General features: G+C 35.0%; 4 long non-coding RNA genes across 4 annotated transcripts in view; 3 read left to right on the top strand and 1 right to left on the bottom strand.

Annotated features, from left to right (window-relative positions):
* The window catches only part of LINC01609 (long intergenic non-protein coding RNA 1609), a 137,243-nt gene that overhangs the window by 43,294 nt on the left and 68,745 nt on the right, over positions 1-25,204 (top strand). The window lies entirely within an intron of this gene.
* LOC107986965 (uncharacterized) lies at positions 640-18,809 on the bottom strand. The gene is made up of 3 exons (XR_001746031.1): positions 18,647-18,809; positions 2,655-2,809; positions 640-759 (listed from the first exon to the last, which is right to left on the bottom strand). It is a non-coding gene; the product is annotated as an uncharacterized LOC107986965 (long non-coding RNA).
* Positions 6,336-10,335, top strand: LOC107986964 (uncharacterized). Its single transcript, XR_001746030.2, has 3 exons — positions 6,336-6,516; positions 8,242-8,337; positions 9,175-10,335. It is a non-coding gene; the product is annotated as an uncharacterized LOC107986964 (long non-coding RNA).
* LOC105375705 (uncharacterized) lies at positions 13,174-14,056 on the top strand. Its single transcript, XR_928534.1, has 2 exons — positions 13,174-13,394; positions 13,552-14,056. It is a non-coding gene; the product is annotated as an uncharacterized LOC105375705 (long non-coding RNA).

The following is a 25,204-nucleotide window of genomic DNA, read 5'->3' as shown; positions in this document are numbered from 1 at the left end:
GGGCACCTGAAGGTAAACGAGAGAAAAGAAGGGCCTTTAACCTTGATACTGGGACTTTGTAGGCTCGCCTCTTTCTCATGATTCTTCCTTTAGGGTGGGCTTACCCTTGGGAATTGAGCAAGAGCAGTGTGTTTAGGAAGTTGTACGCATTCCCATCTGAGGCTTTCTTCCTTTTTCCAGTGGAGTACACCTGGAAGATCATAGTTCGCCATTTTTTCTCTTAAGGCGTATGCCCAGGAAGTTGCTTCTCCCTGGGGCTTGCCTTTAATTAACACTTTAATCTTAACAGGTGTGGACCATCAGGAAATGGCCTCTTCCTGGCACCAGCTGCAAATTTATCACTTTTAGAGAGTCAGTGTAATAATTACTGAACCATCACCCAAGGTTCCTAGTGGGGTGGCAGGGAGCCCTCTCCTGCTCCACTGATGCCAGTCTAGCTACCTGTAATAATGGGAACCCCAGCTTGAAGCCATTCAGTCAGATGTTCCAGAGGCCTGGGGTTGCACTTTGCTCTCTGAGGGTGTCAGAGGCAATTTTAGGGACGGAGCCCCCAACACGTGGGCTCTGACACAATCTCCAGGTAGACTGTGTCAGAATTGAATTGGAGGACACCCAGCTGGTATCCACTGCTTGGTGCATGGGAAAATCCCACACATATTTGGCCACAGAAGTCTTCTTGTGTGTTGATGATTATTGTTGTGGTGACAGAGCAGAGGCAAACCATGGTTAGGGAGAGTTTTTCTTGATGTAATTATATTGCTGAAAAATGCAAAATAAGGGAATGTTAATTGTTCTCACCATAAAAATGAAACTATGTGAGGTAATGCATATATGAATTAGCTAGCTTTAGTCATTCCACAATTTATATATGCTTCCAAACATGTTGTACATGATACATATAATTTTATTAGTCAATTTAAAAATAAAAATAAAAAATAAGCAGACATTTCTCTAAAGAAAATATACAAATGGCCAACATCAATTATCAGATAAATCCAAATCAAAACTAAAATGAGATATCACCTCACAGCTCTTAGAATGGCAATTATAAAAAATAATGATAATAACCTCAAAGATTTCAAGTGTTAGCACAAAATGAAGAAATTGGAACCCACAGTGGGAAAGTGGAAATTCCCACTGTTGGTTGGAATGTAAAATGGTACAGCAAATATAAAAACAGAATGGAGATTCCTGAAAATTTTAAAATAGAACTGCCATATAATCCAGCAATTTCACTTCAAGGTATATATTCAAAACAATTGAAATTAGAATTTTGAAGCAATATATGCACTTCTCTTTTCATTGGCAGCAATATTCATAGTAGTCAAGATATACAAACATTCCAACTGTCCATCGACAAAGGAATCAAAAAATGTGATAACAATGGAATATTATTCAGTCTTAAAAATGGTGAAAATTCTTATATTTTCAACAACATGGGTGAATCTGCAGGGTATTATGTTAAGTGAAATGAACCAGTCACCGAAGGACATATACTACATGATTCTAATCATATGAGATATCAAAATGGTCAAACTCATCAGAAAATAAAATAGTAGTTGCTAGTGCTTGGGGCTGGAAAAAAATAGGGACTTGTTATTCAATGAGTATAAAGTTTTAATTATGGTTAATGAATGATTTCTAGAGATCTGCTGTACAACATATTGTCAGTAGCTAATAACAACATTCTGCACTTCAGAATTTGTGAAGAGAGTGTATCTTATATTGAGAGAGATATACTTAACATGTATACCTCATGCATATGTTAATTAGCTAGCTTTAGTCATTCCACAATGTATATACACTTCCAAACATCATGTTGTATATGATACATGTAATTTTATAAATTGACTAATAACATGCACACACACATGCATGCACACACACGCATGCACACATACAAAGACACAAGGAAATTTTGGGAGGCATTGTCTATTCCCTTGATAGTGGTGTCAGCATACACCCACACTCATCAAGTAGTACAGATTAACTATGTGCAGATCTTTTTCTGTCAATTACACTTCAATAACGCTACTAAAAAAAGATGAGAATTCTTACTACTTGGAAAGATCCTTTAGGAAGATAGACTAAGTAATGTTCCTATGATTATTCTATAGCTGTTTTCTTCATAACCCATTAGGCTTAACTATTAGGACCATGATCTACCAAAAATTAGGTCATCCCCTTTGTTGTAAGTGATTAAAAGTTTTTCACACAAGTTTTCCTGAGACAACTACTCTCAAACCAACCCATTCTCTTTTGAGACCACTGGAAAACGGTTAATATTTTGTTGTCTGAGGCTCTGAGATAGATCTGAATAATATTCTAATTAACTTTTATGCCAAACCTACCCTGCTCCAAGGCTAACAATCTATTTTCTATTAATTATCTATCCCAAATTAGGTTTGGGCAGATTATACAACATAGCCTATCAGGAGGTATTCTATGAGTTTAAATATTTCATTAAGAAATCTAATAATAAAATTCATAAAGGCATTTAATAAAAAAAACCCCAACATTATAGACATATTATAAATTTGAATATAAGCCCCTGAGTGGTATGAACTTTCCAGGGAAATATCAAAGTTCAAAGATTAAATCCTCACACTAGTTAAATTTCAAAGGAATTCAAGTTTGAAATAAAAATATCCTACCTTTGTGTGCTGAAATTCCAAAGGAATTAAAACCTGCCCCAATATTAAATTATTTTTTATCTTAGCCAAATGGTTTTCCAAGTGTAGGTGGTAGTAGAATTCTGTCAGTAGCTCAGGAATGAGGTTTCTTTCACTGGAATTACTGCAGTTTCTTTCTGAGACACAAAGGTTGAATTAGCTTAATGCCAAGTCTTGAGGTATCACATATTTTTATTTTACAGGGAAAAAATATTATGGAACTTACAAGCACCAAGGTTAAAAACACTGCTAGAGAATGAAAATCTAGGCAAAACTATTTTTCCATGCTAAATTTATCAGTGATGCCCAAGATGATAGCAAAAATTTAGTGATATTTGAGGAAGTGCCAATGCAGATTTTAGTTTTCTACTACATATGCTTATCAACCAGTTAACGACTATTGTCTAAAATCAACAATGTAAGAGTTTGAATTCAACTAGGAATAATATCCTATATAGACTTTTGTTTAGCTTTATGTGTTTTCTATATCTGGGCTGAAAATGTGCTTAAAACTTCAGGGTTCACGAGGACTGCCTCCTAGGGATGGCTTTCAGTTAATGTTCACATGCCTTCAAGTTGTAAACAGCATTTAGGAGAAATCTGAACTGAAGCTGATATTTACAAATCTGCATCTTAAGTCCTTATGACCTACAGAGAACCAGTAACTAGTTCAAATACCAGCATCTAGAACTAGTTTACTACTAATACTGCCTTCTCCTTAAGGTACTACCTTTCTTCTCTTTAGATTTTCACACTTTTATAGGTAAGCTTACATGTTTATGTACTTAAATGTTGGCAGCTTGAAATTAACCATTTTCCCCCTACACATGATCCCATAGACAAACTGCATGAGCTGAAGGTTAATGCTTCCAAATATGTCCTTATCTATTTGTGCCTAAAAGAATTTAGAGAAGTAGATCTAATTTTATCTACCTAACCTCACACTAATTAAATTTTTTGACAGTGATCTGTAATTCACTCAGAACTCATCAGTTAAGTAGTTTAAAAGGTTAAAAAGGCTATATTATTCCAAAAATAAAACCTTTGCTTCAGCCATGCCTACTTAAAAATATGTGTGCCTGTGTAGAGAGATCTAGCAGCTTGCATTTTGAAGTTGCATGTCTCTGCAAAACGATGTGCAGTCTAGTATTTTGCTGAAGTTTATGCAGCTAGTATTTGCTACCTTGATACTATAGCAGTCTACTGAAGTTATCTACAAATTTTCCAAGCCTGGTCATGCAGTCCTGCATTTCTACAAATGCCAGTATCTGCATTCACAGTGACTCACCAGTGGATAATCACAATACAAGCAGGAGTCAAAATACCATGTGGTTTCTTCTTTGGTCAGAGCAGTTTAAAATCATCTAACTACTGAACAGCCTGTCCAGCCACACATTAGCCAGTATAAATGGACAAGTTTGAAATGCCTTGTTCATATATTAAAATCCTAGATCTCTGTACCCTGAATCATCACAAGACATTTGGCATGTTATTTTGGTCTGAAATTATATTCCTGGCTTTACTTATCTGCATTTCTAATCAATGTCCAATTGTTGAGGACTTTGTAGCAACCCAAATTACAGTCCCCTCCTTAAGCAAGGTGAGAAAACAGAAATACCCGATGATGGTATCAATATTGCTCTTATTGCTAATAATGGCTTAATCATTCATGTTGTTTTGAAGATCAAAATAGGTCTGCTAACAGAACTCAAGATTGAAAAGGGTTTATCCACCTAGACACAGAGGCAATGTGGTGGAAAGTATCCCTATATAGTAGAGAAGTGCCTGTCCTGTGGAGGACAAGGGAAAACTATCTTTCAATAGAGTCGCAGACATAGCTTAGCTCAAGATACCCAGTTTATTTTCTTGACTTTTTACAAAAAGCAAATAATACCACCTTCTCTTAAATAGAGTAAAGGAAACCCGTAGGATCAATAGGGGGCGTCAGTAAAGGTCAAGTGTATTTCTTATACTTTAGTAAGATGATGAGAATCATATCCTCCAAAAAACTTATAAACTAGAATGTGCTACAACTTTAGATTTTAGATACTATTTAATGCAAAGGCAATTATTAACTACATCAGTTTTCTACATTTTAAAAGAAAATTTGTTAAACCATAGGCTAATTTATTTCATTAACTATGTTTATAAATCAATGCAAGTATTTTAAAACAGTGAAGATTATATATTTAGTTCTACAAGTGGATCCAAACATAGATACGCTGATTAGTTTAATTTTGAGGTGCTGGAAGGAGGCTTGGAGAAATAGGTATTGTTGTTCACAACTTAAGTATAAATAATAAATAAACACAATTTGATGATGAATGGCTAACTCCACCAGGGAAGAAATGCTTAGTTGTTTACCTGCCTTTCAGTCTAAGTATTTTTTATTGATATTTATGAAATCTTAAAAATGAATAGAAACCATTTTTCTTATTTATGTTGATAAAATAAATATATTATTCTGTTTTAAAGGTATAACTTAACTATATGACCAAATGATATGTTAGGTCTGCCTAAATAGCAGAAAAGCTCATTTGTGTGGTTGGCCATTGGAACCGAAGTGAACTTCAGAAGTCATCCAACCCAGTCTTCTTAACTGGCATATGAGTTAAGTCTCACAGCAAAGTATGTGGCAATATTTAGATAATACTCTGTTCTTCTGACTTCCGTTTCACTATCTTTTATCTGTATCAAATTGTCCCTCCCTTTTGAACTACTATTGCCATATACAAGATAGTTTCAATTAGCTCTGGACAAATCACATTTAATGATTTGTTTGTGCATACTGATATTCTCAAATAGACTCAGTCTAGGAACAATCCTGGAGTCCTCATGAGTATTAGGAATTTGGCTGACAGCAAACACTATCCTACAGTTCAGTTACAGAAAATGCATTGAATCTTGTTATCTCTAAATGATGCAGCTCAGGAAATCGTGACAGCCTGAGTTAATTAAGGATTGAGAATTAATTCAATGTTAGCTTCAATGTAGATATACTTAGTATTGTTTTCAACTGAAAAAATCCTGCAATTAATTCATTTATTGACATAACATAATATTTTGTGAAACAAGATGCCATACTGATAGAATAATTCTCATTTAAGATAGTATATAAGTTGAAGGTTAATGATGTGGCAACAAATAACATAAGCAAGATAAGTCCCAGATTATCATACAAACATGCAGAAGAGTGTGTACCGTAACCGCTCTGTTATAGATAAGGGATCAATATTCTTTTTTCTATTATTTCTATTTTCAGAATTATAGGCTGATAACTCTCTGCTTCATTACTATCAAAATTACAGTATTAGGAAGGAAACCTGATTTCTAAGACACATTTTTATTAAATATGTATACAATAAAATATGAATTCTTTTTCGTTGGGGTAATACATCAAAACTTCAGGAACCAAAATGTATAAACATGTAGCAGTATGTAACTGCTACTTTGTTAATTTATTCAAGCAACAATTATTTACTAAGTAATGCATCAATCAATGTGTACAAACAAGACAAACAAGACAACAAGGAAACAAGAAACATTCTAGGTATTTTACATTGAAATATTGTATACAGGGAATTGTATAGTTGACATAAGAGCTGAGAAGACAAATAAGAGATGATGAAGTAACATAAAGAACAGCAACTGGGAGGACAAGTATCACACAGAGTAGAACAGATATAGGGAAAAATCCATTCGCGAAGGCACTAGAGAATTAAGAATGCCATGATTTCTTCCCTTTTCCTTCACTTTAGTCTTCCAACAGTGCTTCCCTTGGTTGAAACCACATGGTAACCATTGAGCAGAAGAACCTAGGAAATACAGTTTTCAGAACAGCAAGGTATGAATTGGAATACAAATCATGTGAACAGGCACATGTGCCAACTATGTACCAAGCATTCTTCTGGGAGGCAGGAATTCAGAAATAAACAAAACTGACCCAAATCCTTGTTCTCAGGGAGGTTTATAGGGAGGTTTATAGGTAATACTTAATATCTACATTACTCATAATTACTATAAATATTCCAATATGCTTTAAATACACCAGTCCAGTAAGCCTCATAAAATATCTACAGGAGAATATTATTATTGCTGTCATTTATATAAGAAATAAAAAGACCAAGAGGGTAAATGCCTGAGGTCCCAATGCTTGCAGTGCCATAGCCAAGATTTAAACCAAGCATTCTGGCTCAGAGTACATTCTCTTTAATCTTGTTCCATTCTACATTTTTATATCTTATACTTTCTATCTTTTCTTTATACTATAAATAATAATAATTGCAATTATAACATTGAGTACTTTTTTAAAGTTTTAAAATGTTTACATACAGATATCTAAAATCTTGAATAGCAAGTATAAATTTGTCCACTATTGCAAAAAATATAAACACATTTTCCTTGCTTCTTGAACATAATAAAAGCATACTAATATTTTTGAGATGAAAATATACAACTTCTAGGGAATATTCCCATGCCTCAGTTGTTAAGGTTTTCAGTTGATGAGACAGGGAATCAGAACCAGAAAACAATGTTGTAATTAAATTTCACATAGAGGTAGGGAACAGCATAAGAGCAGTGGGTACTTCTGAATGTAACAAGAATTTAGCCTACTTTACAATCTCCTCATGGCCACCCAAAATCACAGAAAGAGACTAAAAATGCTAGTAGGGTTTTCTAAATAAATGAATGTATTATCTCCAATACTTGCTACCAGGTAAGAGAAGAATTATTTCTGAGTCTATGCTGTGGCTCCCTATGTAAATGTGAAAGTATTTTTATGGGAAATAGGTTTTACCTCTTTCCCCCTTATGTTTTCAGCAGATCAGAGACAACATTTGTAGAAATATCATTTATTGTACTTTACTTCATATAGAACAATAAAACACAAATGTCTCCTCATGACGGCTGAGGCACTATGATTGTAGTTCTTGTCCTCTGTCCCTAGTTCTTATTTTTATATTTTTCCATTTTTATTTATTATTTTTAAGAAAGCAAGAATAACTGTGCCACGCCTCAAGTAGGTGGGACATTTGTCTTAAAATTATATAGTTTCAGGTCATAATGACTGTGTGATCTTTGATTTTTTTTAACTTCAAAATAATTCATATAGCCTAAAACAATTGAAATGTGAGCTGATGACTTTGTGGAATCCTTGCTGCCCTTTGTGAAAGATGTATGCAATAAAAATTTCTGCCTAGTGCATAGAATACTGACATCATGTAATTATAGCCATGCTAGGCAACAGCCCTTTAGTCAGAATACTATTAGAAAAACCATACCTGTTCTAGAAGTAATTCATTCTGCATGAATTATAGAATAAAATGGGAGGCTTGGGTTTGCAATTTGAACTCTTCTTTTCTTCCTATTTCTATTTCTTAGCTAACAGGTTTACCTTTAAATATTTTGCACATCTAAAATTATTTCTTGTTCTAATTTCACACTAGGTATAAAAATTAAATTTGTTCAAGTATTGAATTCCTAATTATCCACCTACAGATTGTTACCTAAAAGCCATTTTTTAAAGTTTATTCATCAGTTAGTGAAACTCTTCTTCTGTTAATATTAGGAGAAAGCTGAAGAATAAAAAAGGGGAAAGAGGGTTGCCAATTATAGTTGATTTGACATGAATATGAGTCTTCTGTTGCTTCCTAAAAACAAATAGGTAGGTTGGGTCTGCAATCCATAATCACAAATTATTTAATGTAAAATTATATGAATATATGTTTATATTTTAAATATTTGAGTGTATATAATTATGCTTTAATTAAAGTATGTAGTAAACTATTTCTTGTAATTCTATACCATTTCACTCTTTATATTAACACAGATGATAATCTGTGGTGTAACTGTAAATATTGCTGATAAGAACACAATAAACACACACATTATAGACCTTAAAGCCTTAAATACATGTTACCTTTATAGGAAGCCATCCTTAAAGACTATGCATTTGTTAAGATAACATGATCACTGAACTTAATTTCGAAAGTCTCTTGGGAAACTTTAAGATGCATATAGAATTTAATGAATTTTTAATGCAGGAAAATGTTGTAATGTTTCTATAATATAATGTCTCATTAATGGTTATTAAACATTAGAAACATTATAAAAGTCAATATTAGGGAGCATGTCTTATATTACCCTTAAAATTTCATATTGCAAACTAATTAAGGGCATTTCCCATTTAATGATTCACTAAGGTACAGTAATATACATTCTCCTTATTTTTTATAAGCAGAAGTGGCTACTGTCCTCAGGTTTAAACACCTCAGGACCATATTCTGCTTTGTTGCCAGGGTGGACACTCTACCAACCACATTTCTCTTCTGCCAGCTGGCTCTAAAGGCTCGAGGGAGAAAAGACACCTTCTTCTTTCTGCTTGCTTTCTGTTGATTTTTCTTTTTCTAGTTGTTTCCCATTTTATTCACTGTAATAGTGACAACTTGTTTCAGTAAGAACATGATTTCATGTGTTTGTTCGTTTGTTTTTTTAATTTCAGCACTCTCAAAACCATTTCTATCTTACACCTTCAGAGAAGCCAGCCTTCATTAAAGACTGAATGAAGTAAAATAAAGACTTAACACAGACTGGCAAATTGGATAAAGAGTCAAGACCAATCAGTGTGTTTTATTCAGGAGACCCATCTCACGTGCAGAGACACACATAGGCTCAAAATAAAGGGATGGAGGAAGATCTACCAAGCAAATGGAAAACAAAAAAAGGCAGAGGTTGCGATCCTAGTCTCTGATAAAACAGACTTTAAACCAACAAAGATCAAAAGAGACAAAGAAGGCCATTACATAATGGTAAAGGGATCAATTCAACAAGAAGAGCTAACTATCCTAAGTATATATGCACCCATTACAGGAGCACCCAGATTTATAAAGCAAGTCCTTAGAGACCAACAAAGAGACTTAGACTCCCACACAATAATAATGGGAGATTTTAACACCCCACTGTCAACATTAGACAGATCAACGGGACAGAAAGTTAACAAGGATATCCAGGAATTGAACTCAGCTCTGCACCAAGCAGACCTAATAGACATCTACAGAACTCTCCACCCCAAATCAACAGAATATACATTCTTCTCAGCAACACATCACACTTATTCCAAAATTGACCACATAGTTGGAAGTAAAGCACTCCTCAGCAAATATAAAAGAACAGAAATTATAACAAACTGTCTCTCAGACCACAGTGCAATCAAACTAGAACTCAGGATTAAGAAACTCACTCAAAACTGCTCAACTACATGGAAACTGAACAACCTGCTCCTGAATGACTACTGGATACAGAACAAAATGAAGGTGGAAATAAAGATGTTCTTTGAAACCAATGAGAACAAAGATACAACATACCAGAATATCTGGGACACATTTAAAGCAGTGTGTAGAGGGAAATTTATAGCACTAAATGCCCACAACAGAAAGCAGGAAAGATCTAAAATTGACACCCTAACATCACAATTGAAAGAACTAGGAAGCAAGAGCAAAGACATTCAAAAGCTAGCAGAAGGCGAGAAATAACTAAGATCAGAGCAGAACGGAAGGAGATAGAGACACAAAAAACTCTTCAAAAAATCAGTGAATCCAGGAGCTGGTTTTTTGAAAAGATCAACAAAATTGATAGACTGCTAACAAGACTAATAAAGAAGAAAGAGAGAAGAATCAAATAGACCCAATAAAAAATGGTAAAGGGGATATCACCACTGATCCCAGAGAAATACAAACTACCATCAGAGAATACTATAAACACCTCTACACAAATAAACTAGAAATCCTAGAAGAAATGGATAAATTCCTGGACACATACACCCTCCCAAGACTAAACCAGGAAGAAGTTGAATCTCTGAATAGATCAATAACAGGCTCTGAAATTCAGGCAATAATTAATAGCCTACCAACCAAAAAAAGTCCAGGACCAGACTGATTGACAGCCGAATTCTACCAGAGGTACAAGGAGGAGCTGGTACCATTCCTTCAGAAACTATTCCAATCAATAGAAAAAGAGAGAATCCTCCCTAACTCATTTTATGAGGCCAGCATCATCCTGATACCAAAGCCTGACAGAGACACAACAAAAAAAGAGAATTTTAGACCAATATCCCTGATGAACATCAATGCAAAAATCCTCAATAAAATACTGGCAAACTGATTCCAGCATCACATCAAAAAGCTTATCCACCATGATCAAGTGGGCTTCATCCATGGGATGCAAGGCTGGTTCCACATACGCAAATCAATAAATGTAATCCAGCATATAAACAGAACCAAAGACAAAAGCCCCATGATTATCTCAATAGATGCAGAAAAGGCCTTTGACAAAATTCAACAGCCCTTCATGCTAAAAACTCTCAATAAATTAGGTATTGATGGGATGTATCTAAAAATAGTAAGAGCTATTTATGACAAACCCACAGCCAATATCATACTGAATGGGCAAACCTGGAAGCATTCCCTTTGAAAACTGGCACAAGACAGGGATGCCCTCTCTCACCACTCCTATTCAACATAGTGTTGGAAGTTCTGGCCAGGGCAATCAAGCAGGAGAAGGAAATAAAGGGTATTCGATTAGGAAAAGAGGAAGTCAAATTGTCCCTCTTTGCAGATGACATGATTGTATATTTAGAAAACCCCATCGTCTTAGCCCAAAATCTCCTTAAGCTGATAAGCAACTTCAGCAAAGTCTCAGGATACAAAATCAATGTGCAAAAATCACAAGCATTGTTATACACCAATAACAGACAGACACAGAGCCAAATCGTGAGTGCACTCCCAATCACAATTGCTTCAAAGAGAATAAAATACCTAGGAATCCAACTTACAAGAGATGTGAAGGACCTCTTCAAGGAGAACTACCAAACACTGCTCAAGGAAATAAAAGAGGACACAAAAAAATGGAAGAACATTCCATGCTCATGGGTAGGAAGAATCAATATCGTGAAAATGGCCATACTGCCCAAGGTAATTTATAGATTCAATGCCATCCCCATCGAGCTACCAATGACTCTCTTCACAGAATTGGAAAAAACTACTTTAAAGTTCATATAGAACCAAAAAAGGGCCCGCATTGCCAAGACAATCCTAAGTCAAAAGAACAAAGCTGGAGGCATCATGCTACCTGACTTCAAACTATACTACAAGGCTGTAGTAACCCAAACAGCATGGTACTGGTACCAAAACAGAGATAAACCAATGGAACAGAACAGAGCCCTCAGAAATAATACCACACATCTATAACCATCTGATCTTTGACAAACCTGACAAAAACAAGAAATGGGGAAAGTTTCCCTATTTAATAAATGGTGCCGGGAAAACTGGCTAGCCATATGTAGAAAGCTGAAACTGGATCCCTTCCTTACACCTTATACAAAAATTAATTCAAGATGGATTAAAGACTTAACTGTTAGACCTAAAACCATAAAAATCCTAGAAGAAGACCTAGGCAATACCATTCAGGACATAGGCATGGGCAAGGACTTCATGTCTAAAACACCAAAAGCAATGGCAACAAAAGCCAAAATTGACATGGGATCTAATTAAACTAAAGAGCTTCTGCACAGTGAAAGAAACTCCCATCAGAGTGAACAGACAACCTACAGAATGGGAGAAAATTTTTGCAATATTGTCATCTGACAAAGGGTTAATATCCAGAATCTACAAGGAACTCAAACAAATTTACAAGAAAAAAACAAACAACCCTATCACAAAGTAGGTGAAGCAAAAGAACAGACACTTCTCAAAAGAAGACATTTATGCAGCCAAAAGACACACGAAAAAATGCTCATCATCACCGACCATCAGAGAAATGCGAATCAAAACCACAATGAGATACCGTCTCACACCAGTTAGAATGGCGATCATTAAAAAGTTAGGAAACAACAGGTGCTGGAGAGGATGTGGAGAAATAGGAACACTTTTACACTGTTGTTGGGACTGTAAACTAGTTCAACCATTGTGGAAGACAGTGTGGCGATTCCTCAAGGATCTAGAACTAGAAATACCATTTGTCCCAGCCATCCCATTACTGGGTATATACCCAAAGGATTATAAATCATGTTGCTATAAAGATACATGCACACATATGTTTATTGCGGCACTATTCACAATAGCAAAGACTTGGAACCAACCCAAATGTCCATCAATGACAGACTGGATAAAGAAAATGTGGCACATATACACCACAGAGTACTATGCAGCCATAAAAAATGATGAGTTCATGTTCTTTGTAGGGACATGGATGAAGCTAGAAACCATCATTCTCAGCAAACTATCACAAGGACAAAAAACCAAACACCCCATGTTCTCACTCATAGGTGGGAATTGAACAATGAGAACACTTGGACACAAGAAGGGCAACATCACACACCGGGACCTGTCATGGGGTAGGGGAAGGGGGGAGGGATAGCCTTAGGAGATATAACTAATGTAAATGACGAGTTAATGGGTACAGCACACCAACATGGCACATGTATACCTATGTAACAAACCTGCACGTTGTGCACATGTACCCTAGAACTTAAAGTATAATTAAAAAAAAAAAGACTTAATATGCTAATACTTAAAATATGAGGAAACTCTGTTAGGTTCCTAGACATTGCTCCAGCTGAATAGTGCCTTCTGATCAGGAGTCTGAGTTCCAGCCTCATTTGGCTACTCCTCTACCCTTTTAAGTTTTAATTTTCTCAACTTCTTCCCTTTGTTTCATCAGCACTAGGTGGGTAACTGCACTCTGCTGTTGCTATCTTCATATACCTTAATATTCCTTTTTCTGCCTTTTCTTAAATGACAATTGTCAACTATTCTCCCACCCTTTTATATTTTTTTGCAACTCTCTCCATACAGTACAGTTTACTTCCCTTCTTGAATTCCAGTTGACACTGCAACTTGCTTTGACCAATAGCATGGACAGAAATGAGACCTACCAACTTTATATTGCTCTCTTCGAGGTCTGTGCCACCACGTAAGAAGTATAACTATGCTGCTTCTAGTGAAGTTGAGCCTCACCCAGATGTCTCAGCTACCATAACTAAGGCACTAGACATGTGGGTGAGCCATTTGGATTTTCCATCCTCATGCCCAGCTGAACTCCCAGGGCAATGGAGCTGCATAAATTGGACCATTTGGAATAGAAGGACATCCCAGATGATTCCAGTCAGCCCAGAATCATAAGAATCCTGAGAAATAATATGTCATGATTGTCTTAAGCAACTAAATGAAAACATAGTTGGATACAAAGCAGTATATAACTACAAAAGCCTTTTAGTTCAAGAGCTAGTTTAACTTTACAGTAAATATTCAGTAGAAAATCTCTGGTCTGTGGTTTCTGTCTCCTGACTGGATCTTGACAGATCCAAACATAAATGCTGAAACCAATAAAATAATCTGGTCTAATGTTATATGTTTTGCTAATGTTTTCACATGTTAAACTGGCTAATACATTTTGAAAACAATCTTAATTCCAGGATATTAAGAACATAACTCTAACAAGAATTAGTTTATCAGAAAAAAATTTAAAAAATTAAACAATATCATAATGTGATAGTCTAATAGCTGCTATTGAAATAGTAAATTTTATTGAAGGGAATGCTTAATATTTAATAGTGCAGCTATTAACTATCTTCTTAGTCTATCAGGCCGTTGATAATAATATCAAATAGAATTCGATTCAGGTCATTTTATATATTGTCTTCATAGGAAGTTAATATTATATTAGTGATGAATGTGACTATTATAGTTGACTAATGGCATTTGTGATTATAAGATCAAATATCAATTATGTTAACATGAGGTGTCATAAATGGATGATAATTATGATGTGAATAAAATAGTTATGAGTTATTGGGTAAATTATAACTATAATGAGTTTTAAATATTGGGTTTGAAATTTCATTTATGTCACTAGATCAGTGAGAAATAATATTAGAGACTCTGTAATTGAATAAGGTCATAAGACTTCTCCAGCCAAAGAATTTCAACAGAATAGCATGTGACTTTAAAGGAGATTTTCACAGCCGGGCACAGGAGCCTGAGGTGGGAAGACTGCTTGAGGTCAGAGTTCAAGGCTTCAGTGTGCTATAAATAGGCCTGCACTCAAACATGGGCAACACAACAAGACCCTTTCTCTAAAATATATATATATATATATATATATATATATATATATATATATATATATATATAAAATGAAAAGAGACTTTCTTCCACAGACAGACCTAAGCAGGTTTTAATATAATCCTTGGGATTAGGTAATCCTAAAACCATCAAGACAGAGAAAAGATGTTCCCCCAAACCAAGTAATTCATATAATATCAGGACATTCTCTAAAGGCAGAATTTTAGTATGTCAAACTGGATAGCAGACTATCACATCTGAAATAATGAATATTTGAACATGAAAAAATGGAGAAAAGATGACTCCCTGAACTTTATCCTCATAAGGCTTTAATAATCAGTCCTCAATCTGGGGTTTGGGGAAGAGTTGTACTAATCCCTTGTAAGAGCAATAGTATAACCTTACTTTTTTTTTTTTTTCTTTTCCTTTTAGTGAAATTTCCCTAATATCCTCTGGCAAAATAATTGAAATGCTTCCTCTTGCTATGATCTTAACCTGTATATATTAGGATCTAATTTATACTCTTCTTCAAATATGTTATATTGCTTGAAATAAGTTTCTATGCCTATTTTCTTTGCAACAACCTAAAACTATGAACACAAATTTTTCTACAATGAGAATGATATTAAATTTCTGAAGAGCAAGGGAGGGGGGTAGTAGTTAGGAATAGCGGTAAAAGAGAGAAAAAACAATTTACATCTGCAAAATAAAATAACATTGCTGAAAAATATGTGCATATGCATAGGTAATTGGACCAAACACATAGTGGACAAAAAAGCTGTTAAAACAAAGTGTAATTATCTGTATAGCTATTTGACTGAAAATCCCGCACCTGAGAGAAAACATCACAATCATGTATTTTTGTGAAAGTCATTTAACTGACATTTATATAGTACCTACTCTCTGCTAGTTATTAAATATTTAAGTGCCTGAATTTTCACATTATTATCCAACAACAATTATTACTACCACTTTACAGATGAAACACTCAAACAAAATAAGATAAATAATAGTACGACACATATCATATACACACATATCTATTGCCCATTTGTACATTTCTTTGGAGAAATGTCTACTCAAGCAATTCCTTAGCCAATTTTTAAATTGGAGTATTTGATTTTTTGCTGCTGAGTTGTAAGAGTTCCTTATAAAAGTTAGTAGAATCAGTGAACCTTACTTTTGCTTTAAAAACTGAGACGACTTATTTGCTGTCTTGGTTTTAACCTTCAAATTTCACCAGTTAGAATGCTTAAACAAAAAGTAGCCAAGATTGCTACTTCCAACAAGATACAAATTTGCCAGAAGAGTGGAGTGCAGCAGAACTTTATGGTTTGTAAGCATTTTAAATATAGACCAGAAAATAGTATGTTAGTGTGCATTTTCTCTTTGTCAGAATAATAAATGCCCAATTCTTTGCCCTTCTTTTTTCCTGTAACAAATAGGAAAGCGCATTTTCTCAGTCTGCTCATGTAAAGACAATACTGAGCATAAATTTTACAGTGTCTAGAGAGTAAATGATTGAAAGCATTTTGCACAGTTTCAAGAAAACCTCCAGGTTTGTATGGTGATTCTGCTTAGAACACTTAGAGTCGATATATGAATACAATCTCTTCTATGTATGAGGGAATGTAGGGAATGTAGGGAAAAGATCATCTAAATTTTGCATGATTATCAGGAAACAGACAATGTGAAACTGATAGTATAGGGACAAAACAATGTAAACAAATAAGCAGCAATATTGAATAAACATAGTTGGTATATTATATGATTGTTTATTTATAAGAAGTGAATGAAATGGCCTTGTCGCTAAATATCTAAAAGAACAGATATTCAAGCAAAGATTCCATATATTTTATTTATTTATTTACTTATTTATTCATTTATTTGAGACGGAGTCTCGCTCTGTCGCCCAGGCTGGAGTGCAGTGGTGCCATCTCGGCTCACTGCAAGCTCCGCCTCCCGGGTTCACGCCATTCTCCTGCCTCAGCCTCCAAATAGCTGGGACTACGGGCGCCCGCCACCACGCTCGGCTAATGTTTCTTTGTACTTTTAGTAGAGACAGGGTTTCACCGTGTTTGCCAGGATGGTCTCGATCTCCTGACCTCGTGATCCACCCGCCTCGGCCTCCCAAAGTGCTGGGATTACAGGTGTGAGCCACCGCGCCCGGCCAGATTCCATATAAAGACTTGTTAATTGAGTCTTATTTACTTGTCTGCTGAGATAACATGATCCGTATAAAGATAAAATAGAGCTAATAATTGTAATTTTGAAAATCACTCACAATACAGATTTAAAAATGTCTTATATATTCCCTCTTAGAACCAAACATCCAAAATTGTATTTTAATTGAAAAATATTTATATTATATATCTATATTTGTCTCTCTATATCTTCATATATTTAATTTTTCTATGAAACCAAAAATTGAAAACCTAATGATATAACAGATTACTGATTTCACTTCTGAATTTTTATTTCTACACCAAAGGTATATACAAAAGATCAATAAATCATTTTTTTTTTTTTTTTGAGGCAGTCTCACCCTGTCACCCAGACTGGAGTGCAGTGGCACGATCACACTGCAACCTCCACTTCTCAGGTTGAAGAGATTCTCCTGCCCCAGCCTCCTGAGTAGCTGGGATTACAGGCCATGCCCAGCTACCTTTTTGGACAGGGCTTCACCATGTTGGCCAGAATGGTCTCGAACTCCTGACCTCGTGATCCGCCCGCCTCAGCCTCCCAAAGTGCTGGGATTATAGGCGTGAGCCACCACGCCCGGCCAATAAATATATATATTTTTAAAGTTTAACAATAAATATACCTCTTCTAAATTATTAGTGGTAACATTCACTTGACACCTAATCATATCTTACCTTATTTTTTGTCAATTGGCAAATATTCTGAGTAGATTCTCTATGAAAATTACCATGTGAATATGAATAAAAGTTATTTCCTATTTTACCTCTTTTATCTGTTCATCTTATTGCTTAAAGATTACTTTCTCCATCAATACATGTGCTGTTTTCATTTTTCCCATAAAGCCAAAAGCACCTGCTATAATCACAATATGCACTTAATAATTAGTTTAATTAATTACTATTATCAGTATTAAATAATTTTATTGTTATAGACAAAGGAATTGCAGAGTTTGATATACAAACATTGGTGTGTATGAGATTGAAGTATCTTCTTGTGAAGTAACAGGAAGGATTTCAGCAAGGCAAAATGGAACAGATGCATTTTTTTAAACTCTTCATTACTCTATAATTTATTGGTGACAATTTTATTGTGATTTGGAATTTATAGGCTAGCAATCTAATTGATCAACTAGAAGATATTTAAAGTATAATAAAACTTGCAATGCTGTCATTTATTTCCATAATTAGTGAATTCATGGTTATTTAGTTTTTAACATATTTTCATATTTTGTTTTATTGTTTGAGAAATCAGGTCAAAAAATTTAACCTCCCAGATTTTGTTTTGAAACTGTAATAAAATTATACCATATTATCTAATAGTCTATAAAGTTTTCAATATGCTGTTAAATTTCAGTTTTATGATTAAAATATGTTTATAAATTGTTTTGGTCACGTGTTCTTCCATAACCAGCACAAAAGTTAGTGGCTGAAAACAAGCATCAACAAAGAATTTCCCACTGCTTGTGACCTGGTTTTTTATGATCTTCTAACTATTCATGTTTTCCACATTTTTAAAAGGTTGTGAAAACAGATGCCATATATGAATCACAAATTCTAAAATATTTAGTTTGTAACTTTTTCTTAAAAATCGTTGCTAACATCTGGCTTAAACAAACCACCAGTTCATTATATATCACATTTGGATAGGGCTTACCTGGTTGTTTTCTGATCTTTCTTCTGACCTCCTATGCGGTTGGACTCAGATGGTAGTTGGGCTTATGGCTAGAGGTGGTTGTTTGTAACCTTATACTTTTCATGTGGCTTTTTTCTCCTTTTGGCAAGTTTCGTGAAAGACTCCAAGAGTAAAAAAGAGGGAGTTGCCTTAATGCTTTATTTATACTTGGACTAGAAATTTAGAATGGTACTTCCTCTGCAGTCCATTTGTCAAATGTTTCACAACTCTACTGGAGGGATATAAGTTCCATATTTTGATGGAAAAAAGTAATTATTTACAAACTAGGAAGGGCAGAAGTTTCGGGGCCATCCAACCCTCTGGCCACAAGAATTTATTTCTTTCCTTGTATCACATATAGCCATTCCGTTTTTAGACACCGTCCTGCCAAAGTATCATTGTTTTACAGTATCAGCTTGAATTCTAGAATTTCCTTGTCTTTTGTGAATCAGGTTTCTTTGGTGTGGAATCTCCAGCTCATCTACTTGGATATTGTCCCTTTTGATCTGAGAATCTTTAAAATAGAGACAAATTTTCAGTACCCCATTCACCAAATATATAATAGTGAACAAGGACAAAGAATGTGTAGATAGAGTTAAAGTGGTAGGAAGAGAGTAATAAGCAGCTCATAACTTTTTTTAACATTTTTTAATTATACTTTAAGTTTTAGGATACATGTACAGAACATGCAGGTTTGTTATGTAGGTATACACGTGCCATGGTGGTTTGCTGCACCCGTCAACACATCATCTACATTAGGTATTTCTCCTAATGCTATCCCTCCCCTAGACCCCCATCCCCCAACAGGCCCCCGTTTGTGTGTGATGTTCCCCTCCATGTGTCCATGTGTTCTCATTGTTCAACTCCCGCTTATGAGTGAGAACATGTGGTGTTTGGTTTTCTGTTCCTGTTTTAGTTTGCTGAGAATGATGGTTTCCAGCTTCATCCATGTCCCTGCAAAGGACATGAACTCATCCTTTTTTATGGCTGCATAGTATTCCATGGTGTATATGTGCCACATTTTCTTTATCCAGTCTATCATTGATGGGCATTTGGGTTGGTTCCAAGTTTTTCTGTTGTGAATTGTGCTGCAATAAATATATGTGTGCATGTGTCTTTATAATAGAATAATTTATAATCCTTTGGGTATATACCCAGTAATGGGATTGCTGGGTCAAATGATATTTCTGTTTCTAGATCACGGAGGCCACACTGTTTTCCACAATGGTTGAACTAATTTACACTCCCACCAACAGTGTAAAAGTGTTCCTATTTCTCCACATCCTCTCCAGCATCTGTTGTTTCCTGACTTTTTAATGATTGCCATTCTAACTGGTGTGAAATAGTATCTCATTATAGTTTTGATTTGCATTTCTCTAATGACCAGTGATGATATGCTTTTTTTCATATGTTTGTCGGCTGCACAACTGTCCTCTTTTGAGAAGTGTCTGTTCCTATCCTTTGCACACTTTTTGATGGGGTGGTTTGTTTTTTTCTTTTAAATTTGTTTAAGTTCCTTGTAGCTTCTGGATATTAGCCCTTTGTCAGATGGATAGAGTCCAAAATTTTTCTTCCATCCTGTAGGTTACCTGTTCACTCTGATGATAGTTTCTTTTGCTGTGCAGAAGCTCTTTAGTTTAACTAGATCCCATCTGTCAATTTTGGCTTTTGTTGCCATTGCTTTTGGTGTTTTAGTCATGAAGTCTTTGCCCATGCCTATGTCCTGAATGGTATTGCCTAGATTTTCTTCTAGGATTTTTATGGTTTTAGATTTCACATTTAAGGCTTTAACCCATCTTGAGTTAATTTTTGAATAAGATGTAAGGAAGGGGTCCAGTTTCAGTTTTCTCCATGTGGCTAGCCAGTTTTCCCAACACCATTTATTAAATGCTTGTTTTTGTGAGGTTCGTCAAAGATTAAATGGTTGTAAATGTGTGGCATTATTTCTGAGGCCTCTGTTCCATTCCATTGGTCTATATATCTGTTTTGGTACCAGTACCATGCTGTTTTGGCTACTGTAGCCTTTCAGTATAGTTTCACATCAGGTAGTGTTATGCCTCCAGCTTTGTTCTTTTGGCTTAGGATTATCTTGGCTATATGGGCTCTTTTTTGATTTCATATGAAATTTAAATTTAAAGTAGTTTTTTCTAATTCTGTGAAGAAAGTCAATGGTGGCTTGATGGGAATAGCATTGAATCTATAAATTACTTTGGGCAGTATGGCCATTTTCACAATAGTGATTCTTCCTATCAGTGAGCATGAAATATTTTTCCATTTGTTTGTGTCCTCTCTTATCTCCTTGAGCAGAGGTTTGGAGTTCTCCTTGAACAGACCCTTCACATGCCTTGTAAGTTGTATTCCTAGGTATTTTGTTCTCTTTGTAGCAATTGTGAATGGGAGTTCACGCATGATTTCGCTCTCTGATTGTCTGTTATTGGTGTATAGGAATGCTTGTGATTTTTGCACATTGATTTTGTATCTCGAGACTTTGCTGAAGTTGCTTATCAGCTTAAGGAGATTTTGGGCTGAGATGATGGGGTTTTCTAAATATACAATCATGTCATCTGCAAACAGAGACAATTTGACTTCCTCTCTTCCTATTTGAATACGCTTTATTTCTTTCTCTTGCCTGATTGCCCTGGCCAGAACTTCCAATACTATGTTGAATAAGAGTGGTGAAAGAGGGCATCCTTGTCTTGTGCTGGTTTTCAAAGGGAATGCCTCCAGTTTTTGTCCATTCAGTATGATATTGGCTGTGGGTTTGTCGTAAATAGCTCTTATTATTTTGAGATACGTTCCAGTTTAGAGAAGAACATAAATGACCTGATAAAACAACAGTTTTTAAAATATCCAACTGGGTACCTGCATGTGGTTCCTTGATTAAGTTTCAATGAAGTGGCTCCCCATAGATGTTGGCTCCATCCTCAGGAATTTTCATTTGCCCTCTGACTTAACCTCACTTTTCTATAAGAAATGGCTCATGCTTTTAGCACAGCAGCTCTTCTGGCCTGCATCCTGCTTATAAAATTTTGAGGTTCCTAGTGATCTCTTTTCATTATAAACTGCCACCTTTTTTTAGTACAAGATGTTATAATTCCTTCAATAAGCTTTATAGGTTTTTAAATTTATCATGTTATAATAAAACTCATTAGATGAGAAAACACATACAAACAAAAAACAGCACTCACATTCCCTTCAGAAGTAAGAGCTGCTGTACCTTAGACCTCCCATCCAAGGCTACTGAGGTAAAATTTTTCTTAAAACTTTCAGAAATTCTATTAGTTGACCTAGCGGTCTTTTTTCTAGCTGAAAATTTCTAAAGGTGACAAAGTTTTTTGAGCCTTAACAAAGGCATGTACAGCTGATCCTTGATCTGAAATTTACGCAGAGATCAGTTTATACTGGCGATGGCCAAGACGTGTCCTTTGCTCTGAGGCTATTTCCTACTTTGAAAGCTGTTTTTGTCTTCCACAGAGACTAAGAATAGACAAAGTTTTATTTTTGAAGACAGAAAAGTATTGCATTTTTGTATTTTCTCTAAATTATCTTGAAAAATTGAGCACTTACTTTTTAGCCCTTCTGGCTACTCTCGTACTTTATCATCAACCGATATACAAATTTAATATTTATATTTAAAAAAGTTCACACTCTCAAATTTTTTTCTGGTAATATCTTTAGACAGATCAACAAGTTGGGGTAACCTTTCAATTTTTCATAATCCCTTTATTGATTATTTTATTAATTATATGGCTTTTATATAACTTGTGTCTCTTTCTTTCCAGCTCAAATAATATTCTCTGCAAGCCTAATAATCTTCTCAAGGCATTTCCAGCTTCCATCCCCCATGATGTCCTAAAGTGTGTAATATATATGGGGAGCTTTTTTCAAAAGCAACATTCCACTTAACATTAAAAAGTCTATTTCACTTCAATAGTTTTGAATAACAGATAACTTCCAAATTTGGTGGTTTACACAATAGCCATTTTATTCTGTAAGCTGGCAGGAGCACAATCGGTAGGTTGCTTAATAGATTTAGCTTGAGGTCTCTTAAGTGAGTCAAGTTAGATGACGGTTGGGCCTGCCAGCTGGGTCTGGATATCTGGTGCCTGTGTACTTCTCCATGTGGCCTCTCTCTATGTTGCATCTCCACTTTCAAGACCTTAACAAGTGGTTTCTCTCTCTAGTAGAATAACTTGGACTCTTACTTGGAAGCTTAGTTTTCCATGACTGGGAGAGTAGACTGTCAAATCTTAATAACTGTGCTCAGTAGCCCAAGATGGCACTTTGTCCACATTCCACTGATCAAAGCAGTGACAGGCTCAGCTCAGATTCAAATAGCATCTCCACTCTTGATTGTAGGTAGTGCATGCCACATACGAGTGGTATATAGGTTTCACACTATCTTTGGAAACTAACGTGTGTGTGTGTGTGTTTGTGTGTATGTATGTATGTATCCTTTTGTCGTTTAAACTAAATTAAGTTGTTGAAAACCAGGCTTGTAAACTTTTTCTTATTTTTCTTTCCATTTTAAGGAATAAAGCATGCAGGTTTACCCATTCTCTGGCTCCCCAAAAATGAAATGGCTACTAGAGATGAAGCAAGATGCTGTATAAACTAGAATGTTTTTTGTCAGTTTGCAAAGTTTATCACTTTCTGGATATCACTTCTATTAATCTAGTTGGAACACCAAATTGGCATTTTATGATTGAGACAACACTGGAGTTCGTAGCAGAATTTGTAATATATTTTATCTCTGATTTAGGAGAGGAGCATGGACTGGATGAATGACAGAATAAGACTGACTTGAACAGACGAAACTCAAACTCTGGAAAAGAAGCCAGATCACTCACTATTACTAGTGATATAAAAATTGCAGTGCTGGCATTTGGAGGATGTAGAGTCTCAGAATAATCCACATCTTTCTACGTGCAGCCTAAGACCCTGACCCTCACCTTGACAGTCACACACATTTGACACTGAATGTGTCCAGTATATGGTCATGTGCTGCCTAACAATGTTTCAGTCAATGATGGACCACATATATAATGGTGCAACCATAAGGTTATACTATGATATCTTTTTATTTTCTATGTTTAGATATGTTTAGAGATAAAAATACTTGCATTACATTGTATTATAACTGTTTACCATATTCAGTACAATAACATGATGTTCAGGCTTGTAGCCTAAGAGCAACAGGTGATACTATATAGCTTAGGTGTGTGGTAGGCTATTCCATCTAGGCTTGAAAGTACACTCTGATGTAGAGTGTGTAAATACACTCTGATATTTGTACAATGATGAAATCACCTAATGACACATTTCTCAGAGAGTATCGCCATTGTTAAGAAACACGTGACTATATTACTAAACTTTTAATGTTGTATAAATGGAGCAATATGTAATTATAAATAATTACAAATGGTAACTAAGGTTGTTATAAATTTGTAAACTGTTTAGTTTAGAAAAAAAATCTAGCAGTAAAATTTAATGTTCACTTACTCCATCTTTCTTACTGATATTAAATACTATTTTGTTTCTCTTTGAAAAGTTATATTTGCATTATTTTGTGAAAGCTTTGAAAAAGAGTAAACCAACTGTTGAAAGAGCTCTTATTTCTTTTCTATGCCTCTTACAAGAAAGAAGTTCAAGTTTTCCTAAGGTATTATTATGGCTAATACATTTTTAGCCATGATAATATCTCACATACAAATGTTACTCACATAATATTGTCATATTATGTATTATTACTCAACTGCTGGTTTCAATAGAAAGCATATTACATGTTCTCAGAATTTGAGTTGATGCCCAGAATTAGAAATTTCATGCAACCACATATGAAAATTATGCATGATAACTGCCAACTTCAGTTTATTGTAACATCTTTTGAAACTTGCTGAATTATTGAGTCAAATACTCTCTTCAGCATCTCCCCTCTATGGTGAAAATACCTGTACAATAATTTTATATGTAGGCAATGTTCCATATATGTTACTATTTTTAAGCTAAAAGTATGTGAATTGTAGAAATTGAGCAAAATATGTATTTTAATGTAATCTCCACTTGGCTAATTATCTTGTAAATAGTTTGCATGCTTTTCAGTTCTTCTCCTTTACCATGGCTGCATATCTCTATGGGTCCTAGTAGACATGGAAACTCACTCATTAGAATTCCTGCAATCTGTTAGTGTTATTCTCACTGAGAGAAATTTATAGTCTTTGCATGGAGTTGATCCCTGAATAAGTGAAATCTCTTTAGATCAGGCCAGATACACTTTAGAAAAGTAATCATTCTGTACTTTTCAAGTAACTACATCTGACTGAATAGATAAATTGAGCTTTAGAGACATATTTTTCTGAACTCTAATGTGCAATAGTGCAGGCTAATAGTAAATCTTGGAATATCATACCAGAAAATAGGCTTCTGAGCAACTAAAAGGCAAATGGCAACTTTTGCACTCAAAGAAGATGAACAGATTGTGAATAATTTAAGGAGAGACTTAAAATATTCCAAACCTACTATTCCAAAATAGTAGGAATA

Source organism: Homo sapiens, chromosome 8 (genome assembly GCF_000001405.40).
Source record: "Homo sapiens chromosome 8, GRCh38.p14 Primary Assembly".
NCBI classification, from domain to species: domain Eukaryota; kingdom Metazoa; phylum Chordata; class Mammalia; order Primates; family Hominidae; genus Homo; species Homo sapiens.
The sequence above is the reverse complement of the archived record's forward strand: the minus strand, read 5'-3'. Positions and strand labels throughout refer to the sequence as shown.